The 24,551-nt window shown below is 52.0% G+C and overlaps 3 protein-coding genes and 1 pseudogene across 13 annotated transcripts in view, besides 14 other annotated features; 2 read left to right on the top strand and 2 right to left on the bottom strand.

Annotated features, from left to right (window-relative positions):
* Positions 1 to 9,693, top strand: part of SHMT1 (serine hydroxymethyltransferase 1) — a 35,678-nt gene extending 25,985 nt beyond the window's left edge. For 4 of the 9 annotated variants that reach the window (NM_001281786.2, NM_004169.5, XM_005256767.4 and 1 more), the window contains 5 exons: positions 1,891 to 2,007; positions 4,278 to 4,400; positions 6,895 to 7,011; positions 8,178 to 8,288; positions 8,647 to 9,693. In NM_001281786.2, coding sequence (NP_001268715.1) covers positions 1,891 to 2,007; positions 4,278 to 4,400; positions 6,895 to 7,011; positions 8,178 to 8,288; positions 8,647 to 8,816 — 638 coding nt within the window. In that variant the 3' untranslated portion in view covers positions 8,817 to 9,693. The remainder of the gene's footprint in view (positions 1 to 1,890; positions 2,008 to 4,277; positions 4,401 to 6,894; positions 7,012 to 8,177; positions 8,289 to 8,646) is intronic. The other 5 variants (NM_148918.3, XM_017024958.2, XM_047436545.1 and 2 more) reach the window with 2 other exon arrangements.
* Positions 4,249 to 5,053: an enhancer, noted in NCBI's record as "H3K4me1 hESC enhancer chr17:18235827-18236631 (GRCh37/hg19 assembly coordinates)". NCBI's record gives its function as "activates a minimal SCP1, AML or CMV promoter by ChIP-STARR-seq in primed H9 embryonic stem cells {active_cell/tissue: H9 hESC(primed)}" and the evidence as "EXISTENCE:reporter gene assay evidence [ECO:0000049][PMID:30033119]".
* Positions 5,054 to 5,860: an enhancer, noted in NCBI's record as "H3K4me1 hESC enhancer chr17:18235020-18235826 (GRCh37/hg19 assembly coordinates)". NCBI's record gives its function as "activates a minimal SCP1, AML or CMV promoter by ChIP-STARR-seq in primed H9 embryonic stem cells {active_cell/tissue: H9 hESC(primed)}" and the evidence as "EXISTENCE:reporter gene assay evidence [ECO:0000049][PMID:30033119]".
* Positions 6,669 to 7,169: an enhancer, noted in NCBI's record as "H3K4me1 hESC enhancer chr17:18233711-18234211 (GRCh37/hg19 assembly coordinates)". NCBI's record gives its function as "activates a minimal SCP1, AML or CMV promoter by ChIP-STARR-seq in naive H9 embryonic stem cells {active_cell/tissue: H9 hESC(naive)}" and the evidence as "EXISTENCE:reporter gene assay evidence [ECO:0000049][PMID:30033119]".
* On the bottom strand, positions 9,510 to 22,273 carry SMCR8 (SMCR8-C9orf72 complex subunit). Its single transcript, NM_144775.3, has 2 exons — positions 19,417 to 22,273; positions 9,510 to 14,949 (listed from the first exon to the last, which is right to left on the bottom strand). The coding sequence occupies exons 1-2, from the start codon at positions 21,774 to 21,776 to the stop codon at positions 14,496 to 14,498; spliced, it is 2,814 nt and encodes a 937-aa protein (NP_658988.2). The 5' UTR covers positions 21,777 to 22,273; the 3' UTR covers positions 9,510 to 14,495.
* Positions 11,733 to 11,842: a silencer, noted in NCBI's record as "silent region_8275". NCBI's record gives its function as "represses an Ori minimal core promoter by ATAC-STARR-seq in GM12878 lymphoblastoid cells {active_cell/tissue: GM12878}" and the evidence as "EXISTENCE:reporter gene assay evidence [ECO:0000049][PMID:35858748]".
* Positions 14,372 to 14,871: an enhancer, noted in NCBI's record as "H3K4me1 hESC enhancer chr17:18226009-18226508 (GRCh37/hg19 assembly coordinates)". NCBI's record gives its function as "activates a minimal SCP1, AML or CMV promoter by ChIP-STARR-seq in primed H9 embryonic stem cells {active_cell/tissue: H9 hESC(primed)}" and the evidence as "EXISTENCE:reporter gene assay evidence [ECO:0000049][PMID:30033119]".
* Positions 14,872 to 15,373: an enhancer, noted in NCBI's record as "H3K4me1 hESC enhancer chr17:18225507-18226008 (GRCh37/hg19 assembly coordinates)". NCBI's record gives its function as "activates a minimal SCP1, AML or CMV promoter by ChIP-STARR-seq in primed H9 embryonic stem cells {active_cell/tissue: H9 hESC(primed)}" and the evidence as "EXISTENCE:reporter gene assay evidence [ECO:0000049][PMID:30033119]".
* Positions 15,885 to 16,077: a silencer, noted in NCBI's record as "fragment chr17:18224803-18224995 (GRCh37/hg19 assembly coordinates)". NCBI's record gives its function as "represses an EF-1alpha promoter that drives an FKBP-Casp9 reporter gene in an ReSE screen in phorbol 12-myristate 13-acetate-treated (for megakaryocytic differentiation) K562 erythroleukemia cells {active_cell/tissue: K562(+PMA)}" and the evidence as "EXISTENCE:reporter gene assay evidence [ECO:0000049][PMID:32094911]".
* Positions 21,952 to 22,475: an enhancer, noted in NCBI's record as "H3K27ac hESC enhancer chr17:18218405-18218928 (GRCh37/hg19 assembly coordinates)". NCBI's record gives its function as "activates a minimal SCP1, AML or CMV promoter by ChIP-STARR-seq in naive H9 embryonic stem cells {active_cell/tissue: H9 hESC(naive)}" and the evidence as "EXISTENCE:reporter gene assay evidence [ECO:0000049][PMID:30033119]".
* Positions 22,213 to 22,262: an enhancer, noted in NCBI's record as "active region_11837". NCBI's record gives its function as "activates an Ori minimal core promoter by ATAC-STARR-seq in GM12878 lymphoblastoid cells {active_cell/tissue: GM12878}" and the evidence as "EXISTENCE:reporter gene assay evidence [ECO:0000049][PMID:35858748]".
* Positions 22,403 to 22,452: a silencer, noted in NCBI's record as "silent region_8274". NCBI's record gives its function as "represses an Ori minimal core promoter by ATAC-STARR-seq in GM12878 lymphoblastoid cells {active_cell/tissue: GM12878}" and the evidence as "EXISTENCE:reporter gene assay evidence [ECO:0000049][PMID:35858748]".
* Positions 22,572 to 24,551, top strand: part of TOP3A (DNA topoisomerase III alpha) — a 43,567-nt gene continuing 41,587 nt past the window's right edge. For all 3 annotated transcript variants that reach the window (NM_001320759.2, NM_004618.5, XM_047436635.1), the window contains exon 1: positions 22,572 to 22,967. Coding sequence is in view for 2 of the 3 variants with exons in the window: in NM_004618.5 (NP_004609.1) it covers positions 22,788 to 22,967 (180 nt within the window). In the remaining variant the exon portion in view is untranslated. The remainder of the gene's footprint in view (positions 22,968 to 24,551) is intronic.
* Positions 22,603 to 22,952: an enhancer, noted in NCBI's record as "active region_11836". NCBI's record gives its function as "activates an Ori minimal core promoter by ATAC-STARR-seq in GM12878 lymphoblastoid cells {active_cell/tissue: GM12878}" and the evidence as "EXISTENCE:reporter gene assay evidence [ECO:0000049][PMID:35858748]".
* Positions 22,963 to 23,052: an enhancer, noted in NCBI's record as "active region_11835". NCBI's record gives its function as "activates an Ori minimal core promoter by ATAC-STARR-seq in GM12878 lymphoblastoid cells {active_cell/tissue: GM12878}" and the evidence as "EXISTENCE:reporter gene assay evidence [ECO:0000049][PMID:35858748]".
* Positions 22,963 to 23,523: a biological region, named in NCBI's record as "H3K27ac hESC enhancer GRCh37_chr17:18217357-18217880".
* Positions 23,000 to 23,523: an enhancer, noted in NCBI's record as "H3K27ac hESC enhancer chr17:18217357-18217880 (GRCh37/hg19 assembly coordinates)". NCBI's record gives its function as "activates a minimal SCP1, AML or CMV promoter by ChIP-STARR-seq in primed H9 embryonic stem cells {active_cell/tissue: H9 hESC(primed)}" and the evidence as "EXISTENCE:reporter gene assay evidence [ECO:0000049][PMID:30033119]".
* On the bottom strand, positions 24,035 to 24,421 carry RPL21P121 (ribosomal protein L21 pseudogene 121; annotated as a pseudogene).

Raw genomic sequence — 24,551 nt, 5'->3', positions numbered from 1 at the left:
GGAGGGGGAGGGAGAGGGAGAGGGCTGTTCGACTACATTACTCTTACCCGAGGCAGGGTCTTCTTGCCCAGCCCCTGGCTGGGACTAGACACAGCCACATGCCCCCTCAGCTTCTCAGCACCCCGTTGCCTCTGTGCTCCTCCAAGGACCGTTTTTAGCTGTGCTGATGTTTCTGAGGCAGGTAGCCATTCCCACCCGCCCAGGAGACATTTGGTTTTTTCCCCCACTGTGTGTTGATGTGATTTATTTCACCCAGTGCTGAGGGACTCCGGAGCCAGCCTATCAGAGCAAGTACTAGCTCTGCCGCACACCCGCTGTATGACTTTAGGGCTAGCTGTGCAGCCTCTCTGTTCCTCATTTCCTCACCTCTAGAGTGGGGACTATAATAATAGTACCTGTCCCTTTGGACTGCTGTTTTGAGGATTAAATGAATTTATGTAAAGTGATTAGAGCAGTTCTTGGCTCACTAGAAGCTCTAGATAGATGTTACCGATTATGACTGAATAGTAGCTATTATTGATGGTTAACTTTTTCTCAGAAAGGAACCTTATTCTTCATATTAGCCACATGAGCGTTGTCTCTTTCAATGCATCTTGGAGACTCTTTAAATTTTATTTTTGGGGACAGGGTCTCACTCTGTCACTCAGGCTGCAGTGCAGTGGTGCAATCAAAGCTCACTGCAACTTCAACTTCCCGGGCCCAAGCAATCCTCCTACCTCACCCTCCCACGTAGCTGGGACCACAGGTATGCGCCACCATGCCTGGCTAATTTTTAAATTTTTCTGTGGACATGGGTTCTCTCTTTGTTGCTCATGCTGGTCTTGAACTCCTGGGTTCAAGTGATCCTCCCACCTCTGCCTCCCAAAGTGCTGGGATTACATGGACTTTTTTTTTCCCCGGAGATGGAGTTTTGCTCTTGTCGCCCAGGCTGGAGTGCAGTGGTGCAATCTCGGCTCGCTACAACCTCCACCTCCCGGGTTCAACGCATTCTCCTGCTTCAGCCTCCTGAGTAGCTGGAATTACAGATGCCCGCCACCATGCCCAGCTAATTTTTGTATTATTAGTAGAGACAGGGTTTCACTATGTTGACCCAGCTGGTCTTGAACTCCTGACCTTAATTGATCCACCTGCCTCAGCCTCCCAAAGTGCTGGGATTACACGCATGAACCACCACGCCCAGCCACATGGACATTTCTTTAAGGAAAGATGTCCAGGGCAAATTCTTGAATTCTTGGTTACAATGTTAGTGGAGGGAAATTTCTGTCCTTTTTTTTTCTTTTTTTCTTTTTGAGACAGAATGTCACTCTGTCACCCAGGCTGGAGTGCACTGGCGCGATCTTGGCTCACTGCAACCTCTGCCTCCCGGGTTCAAGCGATTCTTCTGCCTCAGCCTCCCAAGTAGCTGGGACTACAGGTGCACACCACCACGCCCGGCTAATTTTTGTATTTTTAGTAGAGACGGGGTTTCACCATGTTGGCCAGACTAGTCCCAAACTCCTGACCTCGTGATCCGCCCGCCTTGGCCTCCCAAAGTGCTGGGATTACAGGTGTGAGCCACCGCGTCCAGCCTGTCCTTTCATTTTTAAGGCCTTGTTCTAGTTGTGTTAAGAAGAGATGCCATCAGAGGAGGCAGGTGGACAGGTGAGGTGCTGAAACCAGTATTCCAGCCAGAGTCATCCATGATGTGTTGGTTTCCAAAAAATAAAGATACTGGTCTGCCCTCAGGAGGCAAGGGTCCCCTCTGCTCCGCTGTGTTACAAATCAGTTCTCCATGCCAGGATAAAGGCCAGGCTTGTGCTTGATTCTTCCCTGGCCAGTCTGGGTTTGAGCCTAAAAAGAAAAAGAGGGGACAGCCCCTATGATCCCACTGTGATGTTTTTCTTCCTCCAGGAGTGAAAAGTGTGGATCCCAAGACTGGCAAAGAGATTCTGTACAACCTGGAGTCTCTTATCAATTCTGCTGTGTTCCCTGGCCTGCAGGGAGGTCCCCACAACCACGCCATTGCTGGTAAAACATCATCTGCCTCTGCTCATCCTGTAGCCCCTAATTCCCATCCCACCTGTCCTCCAAAATCGTGTGCCAGGACTTCCACGCTGGGGAAAAAGCTGGAGGGCTGTCTCTGTGCAGGAGATGCTAACACAGAGTAGGGCATGGTTGAGACTGGCCTAAGGTAGGGACAGTAGGGAATGGCATCCACTCCACGTGTACGGCCACCCAGAGGCAAACCTGTGGGTCAGGCCGAGTTTTGTAAAGTACATGGCACCCTCTTAGGGAAGGAATCTGACAGTTAGGAGAGGGCAAAGCACAGGTGAGAGAGATTGGGGTCCAGACCCTGCAGGATGAGTCCCCTTGCCCTTGATGGGCCTGGCCTGTGGCAGTGGAGGACCCTGTGTCTGATCCTCACACCCTGCACCAGTGCCACGCCAGTGACTCCTGAGTCAGATTCCATGCCTGCCCAGCAGGTTCTCATTGACTTGCTCTTTGTCTCTTTGTACAAGTAGCTTAGGACATTTGTGATGACTCAAGAGTTATCCCGCTGCCTTCATGGAACAAGGACATTGGTAGCACTCATTCCCGCTAAGGGGCTCAGGATGAAGGTGTAGCTTCTCAGGAGACGCACAAGCACTTCTAGAGAGGAACCTGGGGACAGCAGCGATTGGGAGATATTAGGCATAAGGGGTGGAAGGAGCTGGGGTCCCGGGTGTGTTCTCATGTTCTCCCATCACACCTACACACTTGGCACCCACAGCTGCTTTAACTCTGGGATGCAGGGATCACCCCATCCCCAGCTGCTCTGGACGCCCTTTCCAGTTGTTTTCACAAGTATTGATTGGAGGCTCTGTGCGGGATGCAGGCCCGTGGGTTCTCCTTATCCTCCATTCTCTGTGTCCCTTGAAGCAGCCCTCAGGATTGAATGTGAGATACCAGATAAGTCTGAATGGTGCAGGGTAGGACGAAGGCTGCACCTCCTACCTGCGCTCTGACCTTAGAGAGCTGCATAATCTGGCATCAGAGCATCGGCTCTTAGGCCTGCTAAGTAATCGTTTTCACACATCAAGATTAAAAAGGATGTAAAATCCATCTTGCTTAACAGCTTTGGTATGGTAATGTTAGCACAGAACTTCCATGCTTAGGGAAAGGTTACCTCAACAGCAGTTCCTCAGAGAGAAGCATATCAGCTGGGCGCGGTGGCTCATGCCTATAATCCCAGCACTTTGGGAGGCTGAGGTGGGTGGGTCACTTGAGCCCAGGAGTTTGAGACCAGCCTGGCCAACATGAAGAAAGCCCGTCTCTTACCAAAAACATAAAAAATTAGCCAGGCGTGGCCAGGCGCAGTGGCTCACGCCTGTAGTCCCAGCACTTTGGGAGGCCGAGATGGACAGATCACTTGAGGTCAGGAGTTCCAGAACAGCCTGGCCAACATACAGTGAAACCCTGTCTCTACTAAAAAATACAAAAATTAGCTGGATGTGGTGGCACGTGCCTGTAGTCCCAGCTACTTGGGAAGCTGAGGCAGGAGAATTGCTTGAACCCGGGAGGCGGAGGTTGCAGTGAGCCGAGATTGCACCACTGCACTCCAGCCTCAGCGACAGAGCGAGACTCCATCTCTCAAAAAAAATTAGCCAGGTGTGGTAGGATGCACCTGTAGTCCCACCTACTCGGGAGACTGAGATGGGAGGATCATCTGAGCCCTGAACATCAAGGCTGCAGTGAACTGTGATCACGCCACTGTACTCCAGCCTGGGCAATGGGAGTGAGACCCTGTCTCAAAAAATATAAAAATAAAAAATTTTTTTAGCTGGGCATGGTGCTCATGCCTGTAATCCCAGCACTTGGGGAGGCCAAGGCAGGCGGATCACTTGAGGTCAGGAGTTCAAGACCAGCCTGGCCAATATAGTGAAACCCTGTCTCTACTAAAAATACCAACAAAAATTAGCTGGACATGGTGGCATGTGCCTGTAGTCCCAGCTGTTCGGGATGCCGAAGCAGAAGAATCACTTGAACCTGGGAGGCAGAGGTTGCAGTGAACCGAGATCACACCACTGCACTCCAGCCTGGGCAACAAGAGTGAAACTCCATCTCAAAAAAAATAAAAATAATAAATAATAAAAAATTTTTAAAAATATATCATTTTGGAGGAAAAGATAATCCAACGCAAAAGCAAGGGGTGACATTGAAAAGCAAGGAAGCTTGAGTAAAAACAGGAATGTTGTTTGACTCATCATCTGTGTATGATTCTATCCTAGCCTCCTGACCCATTGTCTCTTCTTGTCCAGGGGTTGCTGTGGCACTGAAGCAAGCTATGACTCTGGAATTTAAAGTTTATCAACACCAGGTGGTGGCCAACTGCAGGGCTCTGTCTGAGGCCCTGACGGAGCTGGGCTACAAAATAGTCACAGGTAGAGACACAGATGGTGTTCAGCAGGCCTGTTCTTGTGGTTGTATTAAGGCTTGCTTCTCAGTTTGTGCAACCAGGATGTGGCCCAGGCTCTGCTGCTGCAGCTGCAATGATGGGCCCACCTTGGGAGGAGGTCAGCCTCGCCTCCAACTGGAAAGCCTCCCCCTGCCTCAGACCAGCCAGCCGCCCCCTTGGGTGAGCCACAGATGATGGGAATAGTGGTTGCCATTGGTCACCAGCATAAGGACTGCTTGTCCTCAGAACAGCTTTGCAGGAGGATGACCTGAGGCTCAACTGAGAGGTTGGGCTGTAGTGGTCACACACCTGGTAGGTGGCACCAGGACTGTGTGGTGATGCCTTGCACTGTGCCAGGGGAGTGTCTTCTCTCACCCCGCTGAGCTGGGGGTGCAGGGGCTCTCCCCTCCCAGTTTCCTGCATATTCCTGGGGAGTTGGCTTGCTTTAGGCATGTTTGCTTGGATCTGTACATTCTGGAGCTGATGGGCTGTGAATGAGATGGACTTCCCAGGTCAGGGCCCCACTCTGGGGTGCCATCCACCTCACAGTCACTGCAGCTTTCCACGGAGAACGCATTTTTTTGGCAGGCAGCATACTCAGTCCTCCGGAGGAAGGGCGACTTTATACCTAGTCCCACAAGACTGCCGATTGTGCTAGCAGTGGTGTGGTCCAGGAATATGGGTCCTGCTGTGTGTAGACCTGAGTGCCCACTCTCTGCACCGTGTCCTTTGCCCTTTACAGGGATTACAGGCCCTCTGATCTAAGGATTGGGGAGGGATTACAGGCCTCCTGGTCTAAGGAGTGGGGCTCCCACCCAATCCTGCATGTGCGGCAGTGCCTGGGAAGGCCGGGCCAGTGCTGTCTCCTCAGCAGTACCAGCCGTACCCTCTTTTATGTTCTACTTCACTTACTTTCTGTTCTCCCTTCATCCTCCATGTCTTCAAATAATAAAGCTCAAGAAGTCCTCGTGCAGACTGTGAACTTCAGGGTGCTTTAGCTCAGGAGTCCCCAACCTCCGGGCCACGGACTAGTACTGGTTTGTGGTCTGTTAGGAACCTGGCCGCACAGCAGGAAGTGAGCTGGGCCGAGAGCATTGCCACCTGAGCTCCGCCTCCTGTCAGATCAGTGGCAGCATTAGATTCTCAGAGGAGCTGAACGCTGGTTTGAACTGCACATGTGAGGGATCTAGGTTGGGCCTAGACACTTTCAAGAAACTATCTTTTTTTTCCTTCTGATTATACCTGCATCCTTATGAGAATCTAATGCCCGATGATCTGAGGTGGAAGTTTCATCCCAAAACCATCCCCCGATGCCATCCGTGAAAAAACTGTCTTCCACATAACCAGTTCCTGGTGCCAAAAAGGTTGGGGACCACTGCTTTAGGTCCCTGTTTCTTAAACTTCAATGTGCACACCACCCCTGGGGCTGTTGGTGCAATGCAGATTCTGACCAGGCCTTGGGTGATGCTGGTCTGGGAGCCACCCTTGGAGTTGTGAGGGTTTAGGCCATAGTCCCTGTCACCATGGGCATCTCATGGCATGGGCCTGCCCTCTCCCTGGTGACTGTGTCATTGTCACTCTGCCATCTGAGGACCCGATGCACATGGCTGAGACAGATAATGCTTGCAAATGCCCTCTTTGGTGCCTGGTGCTATGAGAAGCACTATGTCCAGTATCTTACTTAAACTTCATGACAGCCCTGTGAATTATTGGTCTTTTTGTTACAAATGGGCATCTGAGGTTTCACAATGTTGAGCTGCCTGCCTAAAGCCACACGGCAAGTGGGTGGGCACAGCTGGGGGGCTGCAAAGCCAAGCTGGAGCCCTAGCTCACCCGCATCTTGAAAGGGATCCCCGCAACACAGCTCAGAAGCAGAGGCCCCAGTGCTGTCAGCACCCAAGGCACTACCCCAGCTTAATGAAGGTTCAAAGTGGAAGGATCCTCCTGTATGACCTCGGGCCAGGTCCAGAAAACTCTGTTAGCCTTGCTGTTGTCACCTTACCACTTTGATAATACCATCAGCCTCACAGGATCCGGGAAAAACCTACCACAGGCTACAGTGTCTGGCACCTAATGTGCTCTGTGAACATGCCCCTTACCCCCCAAAGTAAATTGAACTGCTGCCCAATATTCATGCTGCCTTCAGGGGAGCCTTTACCATCAATGTTAGGGAATTGCCCAAGCAACTTGTCAGAGAAAACAAGCCAGGAGCAGCCTGAGGAAGCTGTCCCTTCCCCATGGGAGTGTCAGGCCCTCTGCTGTATGATCAGTTACCCCTTTCAAAAGTGCTCTGTCCTTCCTTTCACATTCTTAGGCACGGGCATCTCTCGTGGGGATTAGAATCCCAGGCCATGTGGTGGGGGTGCTCACCTTCCTGACCTCATCTGCTTTGACTGCCTTCATCCTCGCCTTCGTTTCTCAGAGATTCCTTCACGGCATAGAATTCGCCTGCATTTCTACATGTCCAACTTTGTTTCCAGGTGGTTCTGACAACCATTTGATCCTTGTGGATCTCCGTTCCAAAGGCACAGATGGTGGAAGGGCTGAGAAGGTGCTAGAAGCCTGTTCTATTGCCTGCAACAAGAACACCTGTCCAGGTGAGAATCATCCTTGCCTTCTCCTTCACTCCTCTCCCATCTGCATTTCTTCTGGCCAAAGTTGTAGCTGATGAATATATTGGCTCCGGGGACAGACCTCACATAAAAACTGTAGTGGGGGCTGGGCACGGTGGCTCACGCCTGTAATCCCGGCACTTTGGGAGGCCGAGGCAGGCGGATCACTTGAGGTCAGGAATTCGAGACCAGCCTGGCCAAAATGGTGAAATCCTGTCTCTACTAAAAATAGAAGAATTAGCTGGGCATGGTGGTGCATGCCCGTAATCCCAGCTACTTGGAAGGCTGAGGCAGAAGAGTCGCTTGAACCCGGGAGGCAGAGGTTGCAGTGAGTGGAGATTGTACCACTGCACTCCAGCCTTAGCAACAGAATGAGACTCTGTCTAAAAAAAAAAAAACTGGGCCAGGTGCAGTGGTTCACACCTGTAATCCCAGCACTTTGGGAGGCCGAGGTGGGTGGATCACGAGGTCAGGAGATTGAGAAGGCTAACGCGGTGAAACCCTGTCTCTACTAAAAATGCTGTGGTGGCACACACCACGGTCCCAGCTACTCAGGAGGCTGAGGCAGAAGAATTGCTTGAACCCAGGAGGCAGAGGCTGCATTGAGCCGAGACTGCGCCACTGCACTCCAGCTTAGGCGACAGTGAGACTCCGTCTCAAAAAAACAAAAACAAAAACAAAAAATGGAGCGGGGGCAGGGACCATACCTTGGCTGTCTCTTGGCTGTGCCTTTGTACTTGGCCCTGACCCTGCCAGGGAGCAAAAAGACTGATGTAGAGCTGTTGGAGGTGGTACATTCATCAGATGAGGGAGGTCAGGGCCTCCGGAATCCAGAGGCTGCATTTCTCTGTGGGTTGTTAACAAAATATTGATGACGCATCTCAGACCCAGACAGATGTTACCCTCATTTTTAGGAGCAAGGGGCACATCAGACCACTTTGTGTACTAGTAATTAAGTCAGAGTGGCCAAACGTGGTTGTGCCTCCTTGTGCCTTGGGTTCTACTTTAGTTTCTGAATCAGTTGTACTCCTTGCTAGGGACAGCCAGTATCCTCAGGCCAGTTCTCTTTTGCCCACATGTCCCTTTTTAAATGCACCACCATCACAGTGGTGACAATGTGACTTAGGGACAGAGCCCCGTTTATCTTGTAGGTGACAGAAGCGCTCTGCGGCCCAGTGGACTGCGGCTGGGGACCCCAGCACTGACGTCCCGTGGACTTTTGGAAAAAGACTTCCAAAAAGTAGCCCACTTTATTCACAGAGGTAAGGATAAAAGTTTGGAAGTTGCCACATCTTATTGTGTGTATTTAGTTTCTGATTGTGATGAGTAGCTGAGACCCTGCCACTGAAAGACAATTCTGCACCAAGGCTGAGTGTTGGGGTGGGAGACAGCAAAAAACACATGTAAATCACCTTGTCTGAGAGGGTTATAAATTTGGGCTGCCCAGGACATCTGTCCAAGGGTGGGTGCATCTCAGAGTAATTGAGGTAAGCATGGAGACCTTGTGCCCTGCCACACTCCCCAGCTGGGGGACATTCTGACATTTGTGCCTCGGCCCCCAGCCATTGTACCCCCTTTGGTGTGTAGTGTGGGGTGACTCATTTGTGTCTTGTGGCACAGGGATAGAGCTGACCCTGCAGATCCAGAGCGACACTGGTGTCAGAGCCACCCTGAAAGAGTTCAAGGAGAGACTGGCAGGGGATAAGTACCAGGCGGCCGTGCAGGCTCTCCGGGAGGAGGTTGAGAGCTTCGCCTCTCTCTTCCCTCTGCCTGGCCTGCCTGACTTCTAAAGGAGCGGGCCCACTCTGGACCCACCTGGCGCCACAGAGGAAGCTGCCTGCCGGAGGACCCCCACCTGAGAGATGGATGAGCTGCTCCAAAGGGGAACTGTTGACACTCGGGCCCTTTGAGGGGGTTTCTTTTGGACTTTTTTCATGTTTTCTTCACAAATCAAAATTTGTTTAAGTCTCATTGTTAGTAATTCTGGGACAGGTTATTAAAGGATTTAAATTTGAACCTGGCTTTCTCACAGCTGGACATAATTCTAGGAAAATAAAATACTATGTCGCCACTTGGTCATAATCATTTAGATGGTGGTGTAGGGCAAAGCTGTTAGAAAGATTGTAGCGTTTTACTCTCCCTGGGCTTTCCTCCGCCTTGCTGCAACAGAGAGGAAATGCCCATGTCCACAGCTTGTACACACTGCCCCCTCACTATCTTGTTATCCAGTGGCATGCCAAAGGAGAACTGAATTAGCTTCTGAGGCTTCTGCTGTAAATCAGAAGTGTATGTTAGTCAAGAGTAAACAAGATGCACCCAGTATGGTGGGAGGGTTTTGCTGTCAGTAGCTCAAAGTATGGTGTAGAAATGGCCTCCTCCCTCCATCCTGGGAAGTCCCAGTCCCATCCTGGTGTGAGAATCAACCAGGCTTTCCTGCTCCACCTGAGATAACCAACTCCCTCCCGTAATCAGGAAGCCAAATGTCACCTTCCCAAAGAAATTTTATTTTCACGTAGCTGAAGTGCAAAACATAGATGACCATTTTTAATAAGCACAATCAAATTTTTAACCACAGAATGTCTACAAGAATTATAGCTTTAAAAAATACAACCAATTTTTATATTTCAAAAATATTTGAACTCAAATAAATTAATTTCTTAAAAAGTACACTTCTCATACTATGTGTTTGGCATTGACTCTGGTTAACTCTTGTGCAGCAACACCTACGAGATGCTATCACACACGCGCCAGCTGCACTCCTGCACCAGCCGCTGCAACGACTGCACCTCACGTGGTGGCGGGGACTCACATTCACAAGACGGGACGGGAACATGCAGTAATAAAATAGCTTTTTAAAAAATAACACATATAAATTCATCACATAGGATTATGCTTTTCACTGCAACCTTGAAGGTGGCATTTATCTCAATCTGTGACTCCAGCTATTTAGTGGCAGACAATCCCGGTGAGGCAGCCTGTGGTCCCACCTTGTAGGTGGCAGCCCCTGCAATCTGGGGTCTAGCCTGTCGGCGTTTGCTTTATTGTGGGTGGAGCAGCTGCTGCAGAATCTGTGAGTTGACTCACCAGTCCCTACAGTTCTGCTACCAAAGTGGTCTTCAATTTAGGGGCCTGACCCCTCCCCAGCTGGAGACAAGCTGCCATCTCCAGGGCTCGCTGTAAACAGCCTCCACTCTTGGGCTGAATAAGCACTCCCAAGAAGCTGGGCCCCTACCAACAGATTAATCGGCTGCAGAGTGCTCATCCCCTCCCCACACCCCCATCCACCCCTGCCTCCTCCTCCTTTCCACTGCTTTAACCAAACCTTAATGAGGTAAGGCCAGGCTAGGTCAGGGCTCAAAGGAAAATGGGCTCAGGAAAACTTAGTTTGCCCAGCCTTGTCAGCTGAGATTGGTTTTGCTTTCCAGCCAGAAGTAGAAACTTGATGCTTTTTCCTTTTTGCAGTGTTAAAAACCATATCTCCAGTTTTATTATGTTCCATCACAGTTTTGGGGCAAAGCCAGAAAGCTGACTTGTTTGCTTCAAAACACAAACCAAGGCACTGTCTTCTGTGCTTTTCAGGGAGGTGGGAAGGTAAAGGAGACTGCCCACTATAGGGGCTCAGTTCCCCCAAAGGCCTTGCACACCTTCTGATAAACCCCCTGGCTGAGGCAATCCTACTGGCTGTGCAGACAAAGATGTGACAGCAGCACTAGATGCTGACCCAACAAGCAGTGCTGGGCCTGGGCGGTGGGGCATGTTCAGCACTGCGGGCAGCAGTCAGCACATGCAAGACATTCAGTGAGCAGAGGGCTGCCCTCGGCCTCCAACTGCAGCCGCCCTGGCGCGTGAAATGAAATTGGTGGGCCTTCCTAGGATTGTAAAATGGGACTTGTCATTTGTGTGAGGTTGAAATCTACTATACTTTGAATATGGCAACTGTTTTCAACCACTGAAGCAAAGAAGGTAAAGGCCAGATGGGGAATGAAAGGTAAGGTACTGTGGTCTATTTCCAAATTTGGGAGCAATGTGTGTAACTTCAACTGTTGGAGTAAATGAGTTATGGAAAAGCCACAATTTCTAAAATCCCAAGGTTCTACCAAAGGAGTGAGGTTCCTGGGGAAACAGGCATGAGGCAGCAGCTCAGGCTGATGTGTCCTGTGCGATATAAAAAGCTGTGGCCTGATCTCTAAAGTGGGGCTTTTGAAAATCACCAGTCCACAACTACCTGCCTGGCTAGTTTAACCTAGACTGCTTCAGAAGCAAGGGAGGGGGATAATGGACTGGAGAAAAAGCTGACACAAAACTCAAGACAACCAGTTTCAGTACCTGGGCCCTCAAAGCAATAGTGAGGACTGAGAAAGTAGCAAGGGGCACTGATGTCATCTATTTTCTGGGAAGTGTAATTTTTAATGGTTTCATTAAAAACTTACTAACCTTCTACTGGAAGAATACCTCAAATGAAAAATTTTTTTTTTTTGAGACAGTTTTCGCTCTTGTTGCCCAGGGTGGAGTGCAGTGGCGCGATCTCGGCTCACTGTAACCTCTGCCTCCTGGGTTCAAGTGATTCTCCTGCCTCAGCCTCCCGAGTAAGTGGGATTACAGGCACGCACCACCAGACCTGGCTAACTTTCTTTGTATTTTTAGTAGAGATGGGGTTTCACCATGTTGGCCAGGCTGGTCTCCAACTCCTGACCTCAGGTGATCCGCCCACCTCGGCCTCCCAAAGTGTTGGGATTACAGGCGTGAGCCACTGCGCCCGGCCTCAACTGAAAATTCTTGATGAGATTAGTCCCACTGCATAGGTCTCAGCACTGAGGTTTAGAGATGTGAGACTCAGAGTAGGTTTCAGTTCCCCGGAGTGAAGGGGGCATAGGGAGGGGCAGGGCTTCCCAGTGTTAACTGCCTCTGCCCAAATCATGACTCAGTCCTGGTACCACGTCAAGATCCCTTTGAAAGGAAACATACTTTGCATCAAGTAATCCTTTGAAACTGCCACATTGAAAAGTTAGTTTTTAACCCAAATATAAATCTGGGAGCTAAACACTAGTCACGAAGCCATCTTTACTTAATGAAGAACCACCTTGAGGGAGACCAGCCCTGCTTGCCACTTACATGGCTGCCCCTGAGACGGTCTGTTCTGTTCATGCCCCAGCAGCCTTTTGCCTTAGGTTTCAGGACCTTCTGAACCACCCTTGAGGGTGTGTGCCAGCAAATACCTCAAGTGGACTTCTACTTAGGACCACTTGAGGGCACAACTTCAGCTTCTAGAAGGCCAAGTGTGGCTGCAATTCAGGATCTGCCCCAAACTCATCAGCCCTTCCCAAGTTTCCCAGGTGAGAACAGTATGAGCTGTGAATTTCTGTGTTGGTGTGACAGGAATGCCACAGTGGTGGTGCCAGTGATCACTTTCTGACCTTCCTTCCTTCTCAGATAAAATGTTGCACAGTTATGGCCTTGGAGGCCTAAGTAGACAGCAATTAACCAGCCAGTGAGAAAACGAATCAGCATCTAGAACAGGAGGGGAGGGAACCGTAACAGATAAGGGAGCCCACGATTAGAAGCAGGCTCCCTGCACAGCCTCTGCCTCCAGCGCAAGTAACAGACGTTTCACATTTAAAGGCTGCCAAGGTATTGCTGGCGACTCTCCTGTCTGTGAACATGCGCAACGGGCACAGGTACAGAGAACCAATGAGATGTAGGCAGCACCATCTGCCACAAAAGGTTCTCCATCGCAGCCCCAGGAGCAAAATCAAACACCTCTGATGGGAGCAAGGACCCTGAACAGAAGCCAACGGCTGGAGCCAACGGGCCATGCCCTTAAAACGAGGACTTGGACAAGGAGGGAACCACTGGAGTGACGTGATGCAAGCCCTCTTCGGTCACTCTTGGCTTCCACCAGGGGTCTCTGCCTCCTTGATGAGAAGAGAAGCTGGCTGGCTCCATGATGACCTCGATGGCGTACTACAGGCCGATGGGCAGGCCGGGCCTCAGCAGCAGGCGCCAACAGAAGCACACCCAGGGCTGATTCAGGTCCATTTCAGCATAATTTTTGTGGAACAAATTAAAGAAGCAGTAATACCAGAGCTGTCCCCACTTAGGGAATAAAATTTTCAAGGCTGCAAGAAACTCTCTGTCTACAAACCAGTGGCCATTGCCTAAGGAGGCTCGGGGAGGCCAGGGGATCACTATCAGTGGGATAGGTGCTGGCGGAACCAGGGGGTGTCTCCTTCCCAGTTTCAAACTTGTCCTCAGAAGGGGGACTCAACTGGGGACGGCCGTGAGCTGTGGTGACTGAGGTGCACACAGCCTCCCAGAGGCAGAACCTGAAGAGCGCCACGTGGTAGCTCATCCAGGAAATCCGTGCTATTTGAGTTCTCATCGGCTGGGCCAACCACCTGCACCAGCTGACTAAACAGAACCGTTGCTGTCCCAAGCCCACGAGACCCAGTGAGAGGTAGTGAAGTGGTTGCAAAGGTTTATGTGGGTGGGAGCTGGAGTGTGGCCTCTGCCATGTTCACACGGGTCTGCAGACCTTCCCCACGAGGAAGGTCAGTGCTCATGCGCTCTGGCCGGCAGGAGCCAGTGGGCCACCCAGGAGAGCTGCTGGCTGCTCCTCCCTTGCATGGTGGTGATGGCCTCATGGCGCCTCAGCCCTGCTCTGCCTGCTGTGCTCTCCAGCCCCCAAGGTGGTCCTCACCATTGGCTTTGGTCACTTGTGCCCGCTTCACACTAGGACTAGTGAACACTCTGCTCGTTCCTGGTGAAAGAGTATGGGGAGTGAGTCCCAAGGCCCGCTCACAGGCACTTCTCTCCCAGGTAAAGGTGGCGAGGACAGCGGACAGGGTGCTGCTCACGCTCTGTGGCCCTGAGGCCAAGGTCGCATGTTTCCCACGACCCAGAGGGTGGCAGCCTTTCTCACCCCCACTGGCTGGTCCAGGGCCTCCCCTAGGACAGTGGGCTCCAGGAAGCAAATAAAGGGCTGCATCTGGGTCTGAAGGAGGCGATGGGTGTTCTGCCCTCCTGTTTTCCACCAAACCACAACAGTTACCTGGCTGTCACCCTCGTTCATTTTGCCACTCAAGTGTCCGGCAATGCTGAATACAGCCAGTGTGCTCCTCCCATCAGGCTTTGGCCTTCCTGCCCTCACCCTGCCCCACCAAGGGACTGGTGGCTTCCCTTCTGCCCTGGCTGCCAGTCCTCAGAAAACCAAGGCCCCCTCCATATCCAGGGGCCACTCTTCACCAGGGAGCCAAATGTAGCTGTCACCATCCCTCCAGACGCCTTTAGAGGGAGCCAGGCTCCACTTCTGCCCATGTCCAACTTAAAAACTACTAGGAGCCACGTGGGAACCATGCTGCCAGACACCAGAAACTTAAACAGTCCAGCTCAGGCAACTGTTTGGTCATGCCAACCCCTCCCCTCCCCATACCCTGAGTCACAGGTCTTGGTCACAGTGTCTGGGACCGACCTCAGATTTTATACAAAAAGCTGGGGACATAGTCAAACCTGAGCATGGGGTGGCTGGTCCCTGGAGATTCCTGCATGTAGTGCAGCTTCAGCAGCTCAGCCAGGTACTGGACCACCCTAACATCCTCATTCACCAGACCCAGGGTCAGCTTTAGGAAGCTCATCTGGCGGCTGGCTACCAGCTCCTCTGTCTCCTTGTCGTGGGTAGGCAGGTGCAGGTGGTGGCAGAAGGTGTAGAGGAAGGCCTTGGAGCAGAGCTGGGTGAGCATGCTCTGGACATGCAGGTAGTAGGTGCTGCCCCGCTTGATCTGTGTGCGGTGGTCTGCCAGGCGGGGCACCAGGGTGCCTCTGTAAAGGGGGCAGCGCAGGGTTTTGTTGTCAAGGTCCAGGATGCTCGTGTAGCGGCTGTAGCGGCTCAGGGCATGGAGGGTACCGGCACCGGCAGGGGAGGCCACTCTGAAACAGACAGGCCAAGGTCAGGAGGAAGGGCAAGGGCCGGGAAAGTGGAGGCAGAAGCTTGGGAGGTGAGGCCTCCTGTCCCCAGGCCAGCATCCACCTAGCCAGCATGCACTGGCTCTTCCTGGAAGACAAATCTGATCATTGTAATCTTCAAAGGGCTCCTCACCACTCTTATGACCAAGGTCAAAAACACGCTGGGTGGCCCACAAAGCCCTTTGTGGTCCGATTCCTGCTGAATGGACTCTTTTTTGGAGCCATGGCAAGCTTTCAGTGGGGCCTTAGAATTACAAACCTCTTTGTTCAGGCCAGGTGCAATGGCTCACACCTGTAATCCCAGCACTTTGGGAGGCCGAGGCAGGCGCATCGTGAGGTCAGGAGATCGAGACCATCCTGGCTAACACGGTGAAACCCTGTCTCTACTAAAAATACAAAAAATTAGCCGGGTGTGGTGGCAGGTGCCTGTAGTCCCAGCTACTTGGGCGGCTGAGGCAGGAGAATGCTGTGAACCCAGGAGGCAGAGCTTGCAGTGAGCCAAAATCGTGCCACTGCACTCTAGCCTGGGCAACAGAGCGAGACTCTGTCTTAAAAAACAAAACAAACAAAAAAACCTCTTCTTTCTGCCTGAAATAACCTCTCTCTCTTGTACTTAGCTTAATTTAAAGCATATTCAGCCTTCCCTGATCCTCTCCTGCTTTCCTGCTGTGACCTTGGCCAAATTCATTAACCTCTCTGAGCCTCACCTATAAGATGGAGATAACATTCCTACTGTTTTTATTTATTTAGAGACAGGGTCTTGCTCTGTTGCGCAGGCTGGAGTGCAGTAGCACGATCATGACTCACTGCAGCCTTCATCTCCTGGGCTCAAGGAATCCTCCCACCTTGGCCTCCCAAGTATTTGGTACTATAGGCGTATGCCACCACACCCAGATAATTTTTTGTAGAGATGGAAGTTTGCTATGTTTCCCAGGCTGGTCTTGAACTGCTGAGCTCAAGTGATCCTCCTGCCTTGGCCTCCCAAAGATTTGGGATTACAGGCATGAGCCACTGTACAGGCCAGTTACTACTATTACATCCCTCATGGGGTCGCTGTGGAGACAAAATGAGTTGTGCTTAGGACAATGCTGGCCCTCGGTAGGCGCTGCTGTCATCGCCATCACTACTTTTAGCCTAGCACTGACCAGTGGGGTGACTGCTGTTTGTTCATTGGCTTCTCCCCACTGGACAAGCAGCTCCAAGATTCTAGGGTCCCAGAACTGCACCTGATCTGGTCTCATGCCCCCAATGCCTGGCACATCAGAGCCAGGAAAAGCCAGTGTTCACTCAGTGAGGGGAGCGGTTCCTTAAACACCCTCCTGAAGCAGCTTCCCCAGAGCAGCAGGGACTGCCCTGTAGGGCCCAGACATTTAGGGTTTACGTCAGACAGGTATGGTGTAAGAAGGACTGACGGTGACTTGGGACCAAGGTACTCTCACAGTACTTTTTCCTTCCTGGGTTTTATCTTCTTGTATATTTAACAATCATTTACAGAGCATCTATAACATCCCAACATTGACCTGGGAGCTAACACTGTAATGAAGAATGACCTAGAACTCTTGTCCTGCATGAGCTCAGTCTGATTGAGAAAAAAAGAAATGTGCACAAGTACAGTGAAGTGAAGGGAGACAAGGTCTCATTCTCCCTGGGAGAGGCTGTAGTTGGGAAGACCTGGGGGATTCGTGGAGTTGCCTCAGAGCTGGCCCTCAGAAGCAGCGTGGGCTCTAGGGACTGAGGAGGGTGTGGCAGACCACGGCAAAAGCAAGGTCACAGAGATGGGACAGCTGAGACAGGCCATGCATACTGCATGCATCCTGACCATAGGGACAGCACTGGGCTATGGACCACATGCATCCCACAGGCATGGAGGAACTGGGGCCTGCAGGTGGCTGACAGCTAAGAAAGCTCATGAGGGCAGTGAGACGCTCTCCTCAACCCATGCTGCATGGCCCCTGTGTTCCGGGACCTTCTCAGCTCTCTAACGCCTTCACCCTCACCTCCCTAAAGTGGGGCTGGCCAGAGTCAAACACCTCCCAAGCTCCGCACATCCAGCTCCACAGGTGCTGCCGCCACAGGGCACCCAGGCCTCACCTCCCACCTTTTTGCCCCTCCGTCTCTGCTGGGATACCTGTTCCCAGGCCCAGCATCCCCTGATGCAGCTGACACCTGCCCCAATGGTGGCACTTCTTTTGGAAGAAGCTGGCTATTCTAACTGTTCCTCCACTTCTGTTTCCATAAAGCTCCTCCTCAGGAGGCCAGATGACACGGGAAGGGACAAGCCTCAGCTCTCCAGCCCCCAAGCGCACGGCACCCCAACTGCAGCCTCACATTGCACTTACCATGCCCGCCGCAGGAGGACACCTCTCCACCAATGAGGACACAGAGGACTGGGTAAAGCGGCAGCTTGTGCAAGGTCACCTAGCTAGCAAGTGGTCAAGCCAGGACTCAACCCAGGGCCTCTGACACACGCTAGGCTAGCACTTTCTCCAGGCAGAACTGTGCTCTGCTTTTCGGTCTGGGCTTGTGACTGCTGCTTAGTAAGCAATAGGATGACCCCTGGTGTTCACTTAAAATGACAGCAGGGCCGGGCTCACGCCTATAATCCCAGTACTTCGGAAGGCTGAGGTGGGCCGATCATTTGAGACCAGCCTGGCCAACATGGTGAAACCCTGTCTCTACTAAAGATACAAAAATTAGCCTGGCATGATGGCGCACGCCTATAATCCCAGCTACTGGAGAGGCTGAGGCACGAGAATAACCTGAGCCTAGGAAGCAGAGGCTGCAGTGGGCTGAGATCACATCACTGCACTCCAGCCTGGGCAACAGAGCAAGACTCTGTCTCCAACAACAACAACAACAAAAAACACACAAAACAAAAAAACCCGCAAATGACAGGATACCAGCTTGGTTGTTTAGCCATCTCTTATCCCCACAGATGGCTGACCCAACTACAAGCATTTCCAGGCAGAGTGAAAAAAATCAAGGGCCAGCAAGACTGGTGTTCGGAGGTGAGAGTCCTGAAAGAGAGTCCATCATGTGAGCAGTGGGCCTGAGTGAGGAGGCACACTTCTGGGCCGTGGTGCTCAGAGTGCAGAGCCTCTGCAGCGCAACACCTCCGAGGATAGGAAGGTCACAACCACCGAAGACATCTCTCCTGCTCGTGATTTTTAAAGCTGGGCCTCAGGTAGGCCCCAGTCTGCCTGCCTGTGTCGGTGCCGGTTCCACCCTCTGAGTGCTTCTCAGGGCCAAGCACTGCACTGTGCTGTGTTTTTTTGGACATGCACTAAACGTGGACCCTTCCGATGGCTCTCAGGTGGGCCCCGGGAGCCCTTCAGAGGTGTTCAACATGATTGGGTGACTGAATGAGATGGTTGGTCCGAATCCAGACAGCGAGTGGTGGCACACCAGGACTTGACCCAGACCACCCACTGCTCCCGCTAACTGCCACAGCCCACAACAGTTTCATCTTATCATACCCTCAGGTGGCGTCTACTGCTCACCTCCCCCAGGAATTCTTTGGGTGAGCTGTAGCCCATCCCATTCCCGTTTGGCCCCGCAGGGGACCCTCCAGGGTGCAGGGCTCCCCACACCTGCCCGCTGCACCTCATGCCTGTGTAGGATGCTGGAGGCAGATGCTCCCAGCACCCAACATCTGCACGTGCTCTGAAGGTTGAAAGAGCACTTACAGGGACAGCAGCCTAACCCTTTCCCCCGGAGTCATCTGTCCCTTCTGATGGGCCTTTTGCTTTTATAGAGAGATGCTCCCTGCAGTCGGGCTGGCAATGGCGACAGATAAATTCCATGTCTTACCTCACACCAACCGAATCAGAACCTCGAGGGCTTGTGACTCAGGAATCCATGATTTTAAAAACTTTCCGGCCAGGCACGGTGGCTCACACCTGTAATCCCAGCACTTTGGGAGGCTGAGGTGGGCAGACCACCTAAGGTCAGGAGTTCCAGACCAGCCTGGCCAACATGGTGAAACCCTGTCTCTACTAAAAATAGAAAAGTTAGCCGGGTGTGGTGGCAGGCGCCTGTAATCCCAGCTACTCAGGACAGTGAGGCAAGAGAATTGCTTGAACCCGGGAGGCGGAGATTGCAGTGAGCCAAGATCGCGCCATTGCACTCCAGCCTGGGGTACAAGAGCGAGACTTCGTTGCAAAAAAATAAAAATAAAAATAAAAACTTTCCCTAATAATGCTGACACAGCTCGGGGACAGATGGGGATTGGCAACCACCTAGGAACTGCAACCCCCTCACATGACAGACAAGGAAATAGAAACCAGAGAGGGGGATGACTTGCCAAAAGTAACACAGTGGTAGGAACTGGGCCCTGTCTAGAAGCCAGGCTTCCTGATTCTGGCTCCACCACACCAATATACCTCATCCCTATCTGGCCAAGGCCCTTCCCCACCACCTGGAACCAGTTACCTCTGCAAGCCAATAAGCTTCCACTTCTGAAAATCCATAATGTGCAAAGGGGAGGAGGCCCAATGTTTCACGGGCTTAGCGTAGCAGCCATAGCTGGGGACAAAGATAGCCAGTGCAGTCACGAGTTTCCTGACTATGGCCTCATCTTCCCCCAGGACCACAAGTGTCCTCCCACTGAGCAGGGAGTAGATGGCTGGGTGGGCAAAGGGGTACTGGCGGATGAATTTTAAGGCGTTCTGGCCAGCCCTCTTTTTATGCCTATCGGAAGACAGGCCAGCAGGATAAGCAGAGGGGATCCTGTCTGAGCTGGTGGACGCTACACTGCTCACGTAGCTGGTGGTGTCTGAGTAGTTGTCCAGGCTGGTCTTACTGATGTCCCGGCTAGCCAGCAGGTGGCTCGGGTCCAGCTCATAAGCGGGAAACCCTTCACAACTGTTGTCTCGGGAAGAAGGGTTGGCATTTTCCACTGAAAAGTCTACACGGAACCCCTGGTCCTTCTGCCTGTGGCGCTGTGGGGGGCTGCTCACCACCCCATCCTCGTCAGAGTGTGTGTGGGCTGGAGTGGAGGGCAGCACCAACTGACCATCGCTCTCCTTCCCAATACAGCAGGAGGAGTCTATTTGTGATGGGGTGTTTTCTATGCTGCCTTCCTCTGTCTCACCCAGTTCTGGAGGACTGATGCTTGCCTGGAAGCGGATGGCTCCTTCATTGCCATCTGGATATGATTCTTCTTCATTAATGGCACTTGGGTAGCTGGCCTTAAAGTCATCAGGGATGAGGGCCTCAGAGGGGCAGGTACTGAGGACTTCAATACTGTCCTCGCTGATGGTCCTGTGGCTGACTGCTTTGCTCCGGACCACCTGGGGGCTCAATGGTACTGTGAGGCTTGCCTGGCTGTCAGATTTAGAAAGCACGGAGGTGGATTTCTCCGTGCCCAAAACTTCAATACTTTCACCACTGCTGATACTCCCTTTCATATCCATATCCAGGTAGTCCAAGTTTTCCTGGGGGTCGAAACTGCTCAACTCAGTCACTTCCACTTCCTTGTACTCCTCATCTCCCAGTTCCTGCTCCATCTTGATCAACACAGACTCCACACTGGACTTGTAAGAACCAACACTAATTAACACTTTAGGAATTGGGCATTCTTCTAGAGAACTGGAAGGCGGCCTGTCTTGACTGGGCTTAGAGGGTATGCTTTCTTGTTTCTCCACCATCCTGTCATCGACCTCCACAAAGTCTTCAAAGAGAAAGTTTGTTATATGCTGTTGTTTTAGAAGTGCTCTATCAATCTGACTGGTCAGGAGGTAACACAGGTCTCCTCTGAACATGTGTTCAATGTGGCTGAGCTGAGCCAGGGTCTGGGTGAAATATTCAGTGTCACAGAGCTCCTCCAAGGTCTTCAACTTCTTGTCAAAACACTTGGTGGACTTTGCTTTGATAAGTTTTGGGGTGTAGGCTGGTCTGCAGGTGTAAAGGTCTGTGTCGGCAGACTCATCAGGGTTAGAGGTAGTGGATGCCTGGCTGGCCTGATCCTGGATGTGCTCCATCTCACCAGGACACAAATCATGCCCCTTCAACTTCCGATGAGGGTATGAGCGGATCTGCTTCAGCAGGTCTTGATGTTCAATGATGGACTTCTCCACACTGGCCAGTTCATTGGCTTTCTCAATTGCCTGAGATGAGTAAAAGCCTTTGTCGTTGGCTTTCTTCTGGATCTCCGTTTCTGTGTGTAGCACTGTCCTGGTGTAATCCAAGTCTTTCAGCTTTTTTTCAAGTTCCCCAGCAAATGCCTTCCTGTTGCCAGTCTTCAAGCACTCAGAAGCTCTGGAAAATTCGGCTGAAAGCTCCTGGAACTGCTGCATGATTTTATGCTGGTCTGCAGAGATATAAGCCATGCAAAACGGCCTCACGAAGCCACGGGCCTCCAGGTCGTATAGGGTAAGGTGGTGCACGTATGCAAAGGCGCCCTCCTTAGAATCTCCCAGCACCACCTTGGAGTCCTCCACGAAGTTCAGCTTGGGGTAGGCAGATCCAGGAGGATGGCCCACGAAGGAAGCCTGGTAATCCACAGACATGATACGCAGGGAGAAGTAATTGAGATCAAAAGTGCCAAAAACTTTGGTGTCATTGGGGATGGTCAGTAAGGGTTGGGGTCCCACCTGCTCAGAGAACTCGGAAATAAGAATGAAGTCCCTCGAAAACTTGGCCCCGGACAGTTTTGACCAGGGGTTAGCACCCTGACTGGCGAAGGGGAAGAGCGGCACCGAGTACTCCTCAGGCAGGGCCGGCTCATTGTAAGGCTCTTCTTCATACTCTTCCTCTTTGGTGAAGGCCACTACGTCAGGGGCGCTGATCATATTTCCAGATATATGAAGAAAACATTGAGAGGAAGTGGGAAAGAATGCGGTGTTAATCGACGCGCAGAAGGCAGGCCTCCGGAGAAGGAAGTGAAGCCCTTACGGCCTTCTTTGCGACTCCCCGAACCCGGGGTCCTAGGCTGCTTCTCACACACCCGAGGAGAAGAACTCTAGCAGCCCCCTCACAGTTGTAGCTCCTCCGGAGCTCTCTGAGGCCTCATGAACGCCAAGGCCGCAGGCCCAACTGCCCTTCTCTTCTTCGTCCGGCGAGCGCGGCCAGCACAAGAAACCTGCTGCGAAATCACCTGCACTCTCCGGAACCCACTGCGACAGCAAAAGCCCCCGCTCTGAACAAGGCTTAACGCGAGGCTACGGGACGCCGCAGGGGTCAGCCAAGCGCTGCTGCCCCTCACTGCCCGAGGGCAGAAACCGTCGCGGCTCCTAGGACGCCACAACCCGGATCCTGCTACCGCGGCGCCGCCATCTTGACATCACATGACTCCTGGTGTCCGCGCCGCGTGACCCGGAAGCGTCCTCGTAGACTTCCGAGCAGGAGATTAAAAAGTCATGAGAAAGAGGCCTTGGATGGGAGTGTCTGGCGGCTCCCCGCAAGAAGGAGTCCGATTAACCAACCACTGCCGGGAAGGAGGGGAAAGAGGGGCGGAGTGAGACGGGGGCGGCGGGAAGGTGGCAGAGGGGAACGTGCTTGGACGAGGGGCGCGGGACAGTCTGGGAGTTGTAGTTCCAGGTCGCTGTGGGGCGCGCGCCTGGCGGAAGTAGCTGGAGAAGGCGGGCGGAAGTTCCACGCCAAGATACTGGATTCGGTGCTGAGGCGGCGGCTGCGGCACGGGAAAGGCTCAGTGACTGAAGCTCCAAAGGCCAGCAGGCTGGTGGGGACGTGACCGAAGCGAGGCTCTGGTTCCCTTTCGGTGGGCGCCATTTGAGCCTCATCTCTGGCTTCCCCAGGATGCGCCGGCAGCCGGGGAGCGGCTCCGGGCGCGAGGTCTGAGGATGATCTTTCCTGTCGCCCGCTACGCGCTCCGGTGGCTGCGACGGCCCGAAGACCGTGCCTTTTCCCGCGCCGCCATGGAGATGGCCCTCCGAGGCGTGCGGAAAGTCCTCTGTGTGGCCGAAAAAAACGACGCGGCCAAGGGGATCGCCGACCTGCTGTCAAACGGTCGCATGAGGCGGGTAAGAAAGCGCGTTCCGATCAGCTGCGTGCCTTAAGGGAGGCCCACCGAGCGGGACAGCGTGGTGGGCGCCAAGAATCGAGATGAAGGCGATTATCTCCCATTTCTCAGGCCTCACTGCCCCTCGTCTGGATTATTGCAGTGGCCTCCTGTCTGCTCTCGGACTGGAGTGCATTTTAAAACGTAGTTGATACATCTCACTCATTTGCGTGGAAACCTTTTGTTTTGCTTGCGCTTAGCAGGTTCCCAAACTTGTCTGATTCTCGGAATCGCCTCGGGCGCTGGCTGCCCTTCGGGTCTTGTGTGAGGCTGGGGAAGTGTGTATTTTACTGTTTTTCCCTAGAGATTCAGAAATTCATTTGGGAACTACTGACCAGATTCCCTTAACTTGGCATTCAAGCCCTGCCCGATCGTTCCCCAGCCAACCTAGCCCTCCCCATCCTGTGCCACAGCCACTGCATTCTACAGCCCTTGTGACTTTCCAGCCTCACAGTGCACACTTACAGCAACACGGTAAGGTTTGGGGATTAGATTTGAAGTCAGCCCTGTTCCTACCCGAATGAACTGATTCTGAGAGAGGTAAGTGGTAAGAATGTGTTCTACACACACGGGAGGCACAAACGCAAGGGAGGATAAGAAAAAGTTTCATAAAGGAGGTGCCACGGGAGACATAAAGAGCTGTCCAGGAAAATATCTCAGATAACAAAAGTAGATCCTGAAATGGTTTTCTGGAGAACTTTTCTAAGAGCATGGGTGGAAGTTCCCTGCTCATTTTTCTTTAGTTCCCAGGGTCCTAAGACCTGTTTCCAGATCAAGGATAGTGGGAGTGGAGCCAGGGTTGTGTGAATGCTGGCTGACAGCTTTACCTGTTTCCAGTGCTAGAAGTCCTGGTGACCAGCCCCAAGGTTTGTCTACTTCTAGACAATGAAGTAGACATTGAAAAATGGTTCTCCTACGCCTAACTTCTTATCCTTCAAGGCTCTGCTGAATTCATTCTCTCTCTCTCCCTTTTTTTTTTTTTTTTTTAAGCAATCCAGAGGTCTTGTATTTATCTATTTTTACCCTATCATACCATGAATCCATAGGGAATAGGTTCCAGCGGCTCAGGCTCTTTTCCATTGGTTCTCACAAAGTGTACTTCCCTCAATGGAACAGGCTGGCACTTCAGGTGAACCCTTTCTCTTTGACTTGCTTCTTTTTTGATCATTTTCCTTCACACATTTCAGGAAAGATCTTGGTTCTTAGAGTGCTTAATATGCTCAATAGAAACATTAATTCTTTGGGCAAGAATCTAGCCCTTGTTCGCAGCAGTGCCAACAGCATGCTGGGTAACATAGACTTTTCCAGTTCTGCCATGTAACATTTGTGGGTCATTCCCTTTTGAACAGTATGCATTCTCACGAAGTCCTCAATATCACCTTCATTGTAGATTCTGGTGTCTGTGGCCAGAGAAACTCCATATTTTTGTTTTGTTTTGTTTGTTTGTTTTGAGATGGAGCTTTGCTCTTGTTGCCCAGCCTGGAGTGCAATGGTGTGATCTCAGCTCACTGCAACCTCCGCCTCCCGGGTTCAAGCGATTCTCCTG

This window comes from Homo sapiens, chromosome 17, assembly GCF_000001405.40.
Source record: "Homo sapiens chromosome 17, GRCh38.p14 Primary Assembly".
Classification (NCBI taxonomy): Eukaryota; Metazoa; Chordata; class Mammalia; order Primates; family Hominidae; genus Homo; species Homo sapiens.
Note: the sequence above shows the minus strand (reverse complement) of the source record. Positions and strands in the feature narration are given on the sequence as shown.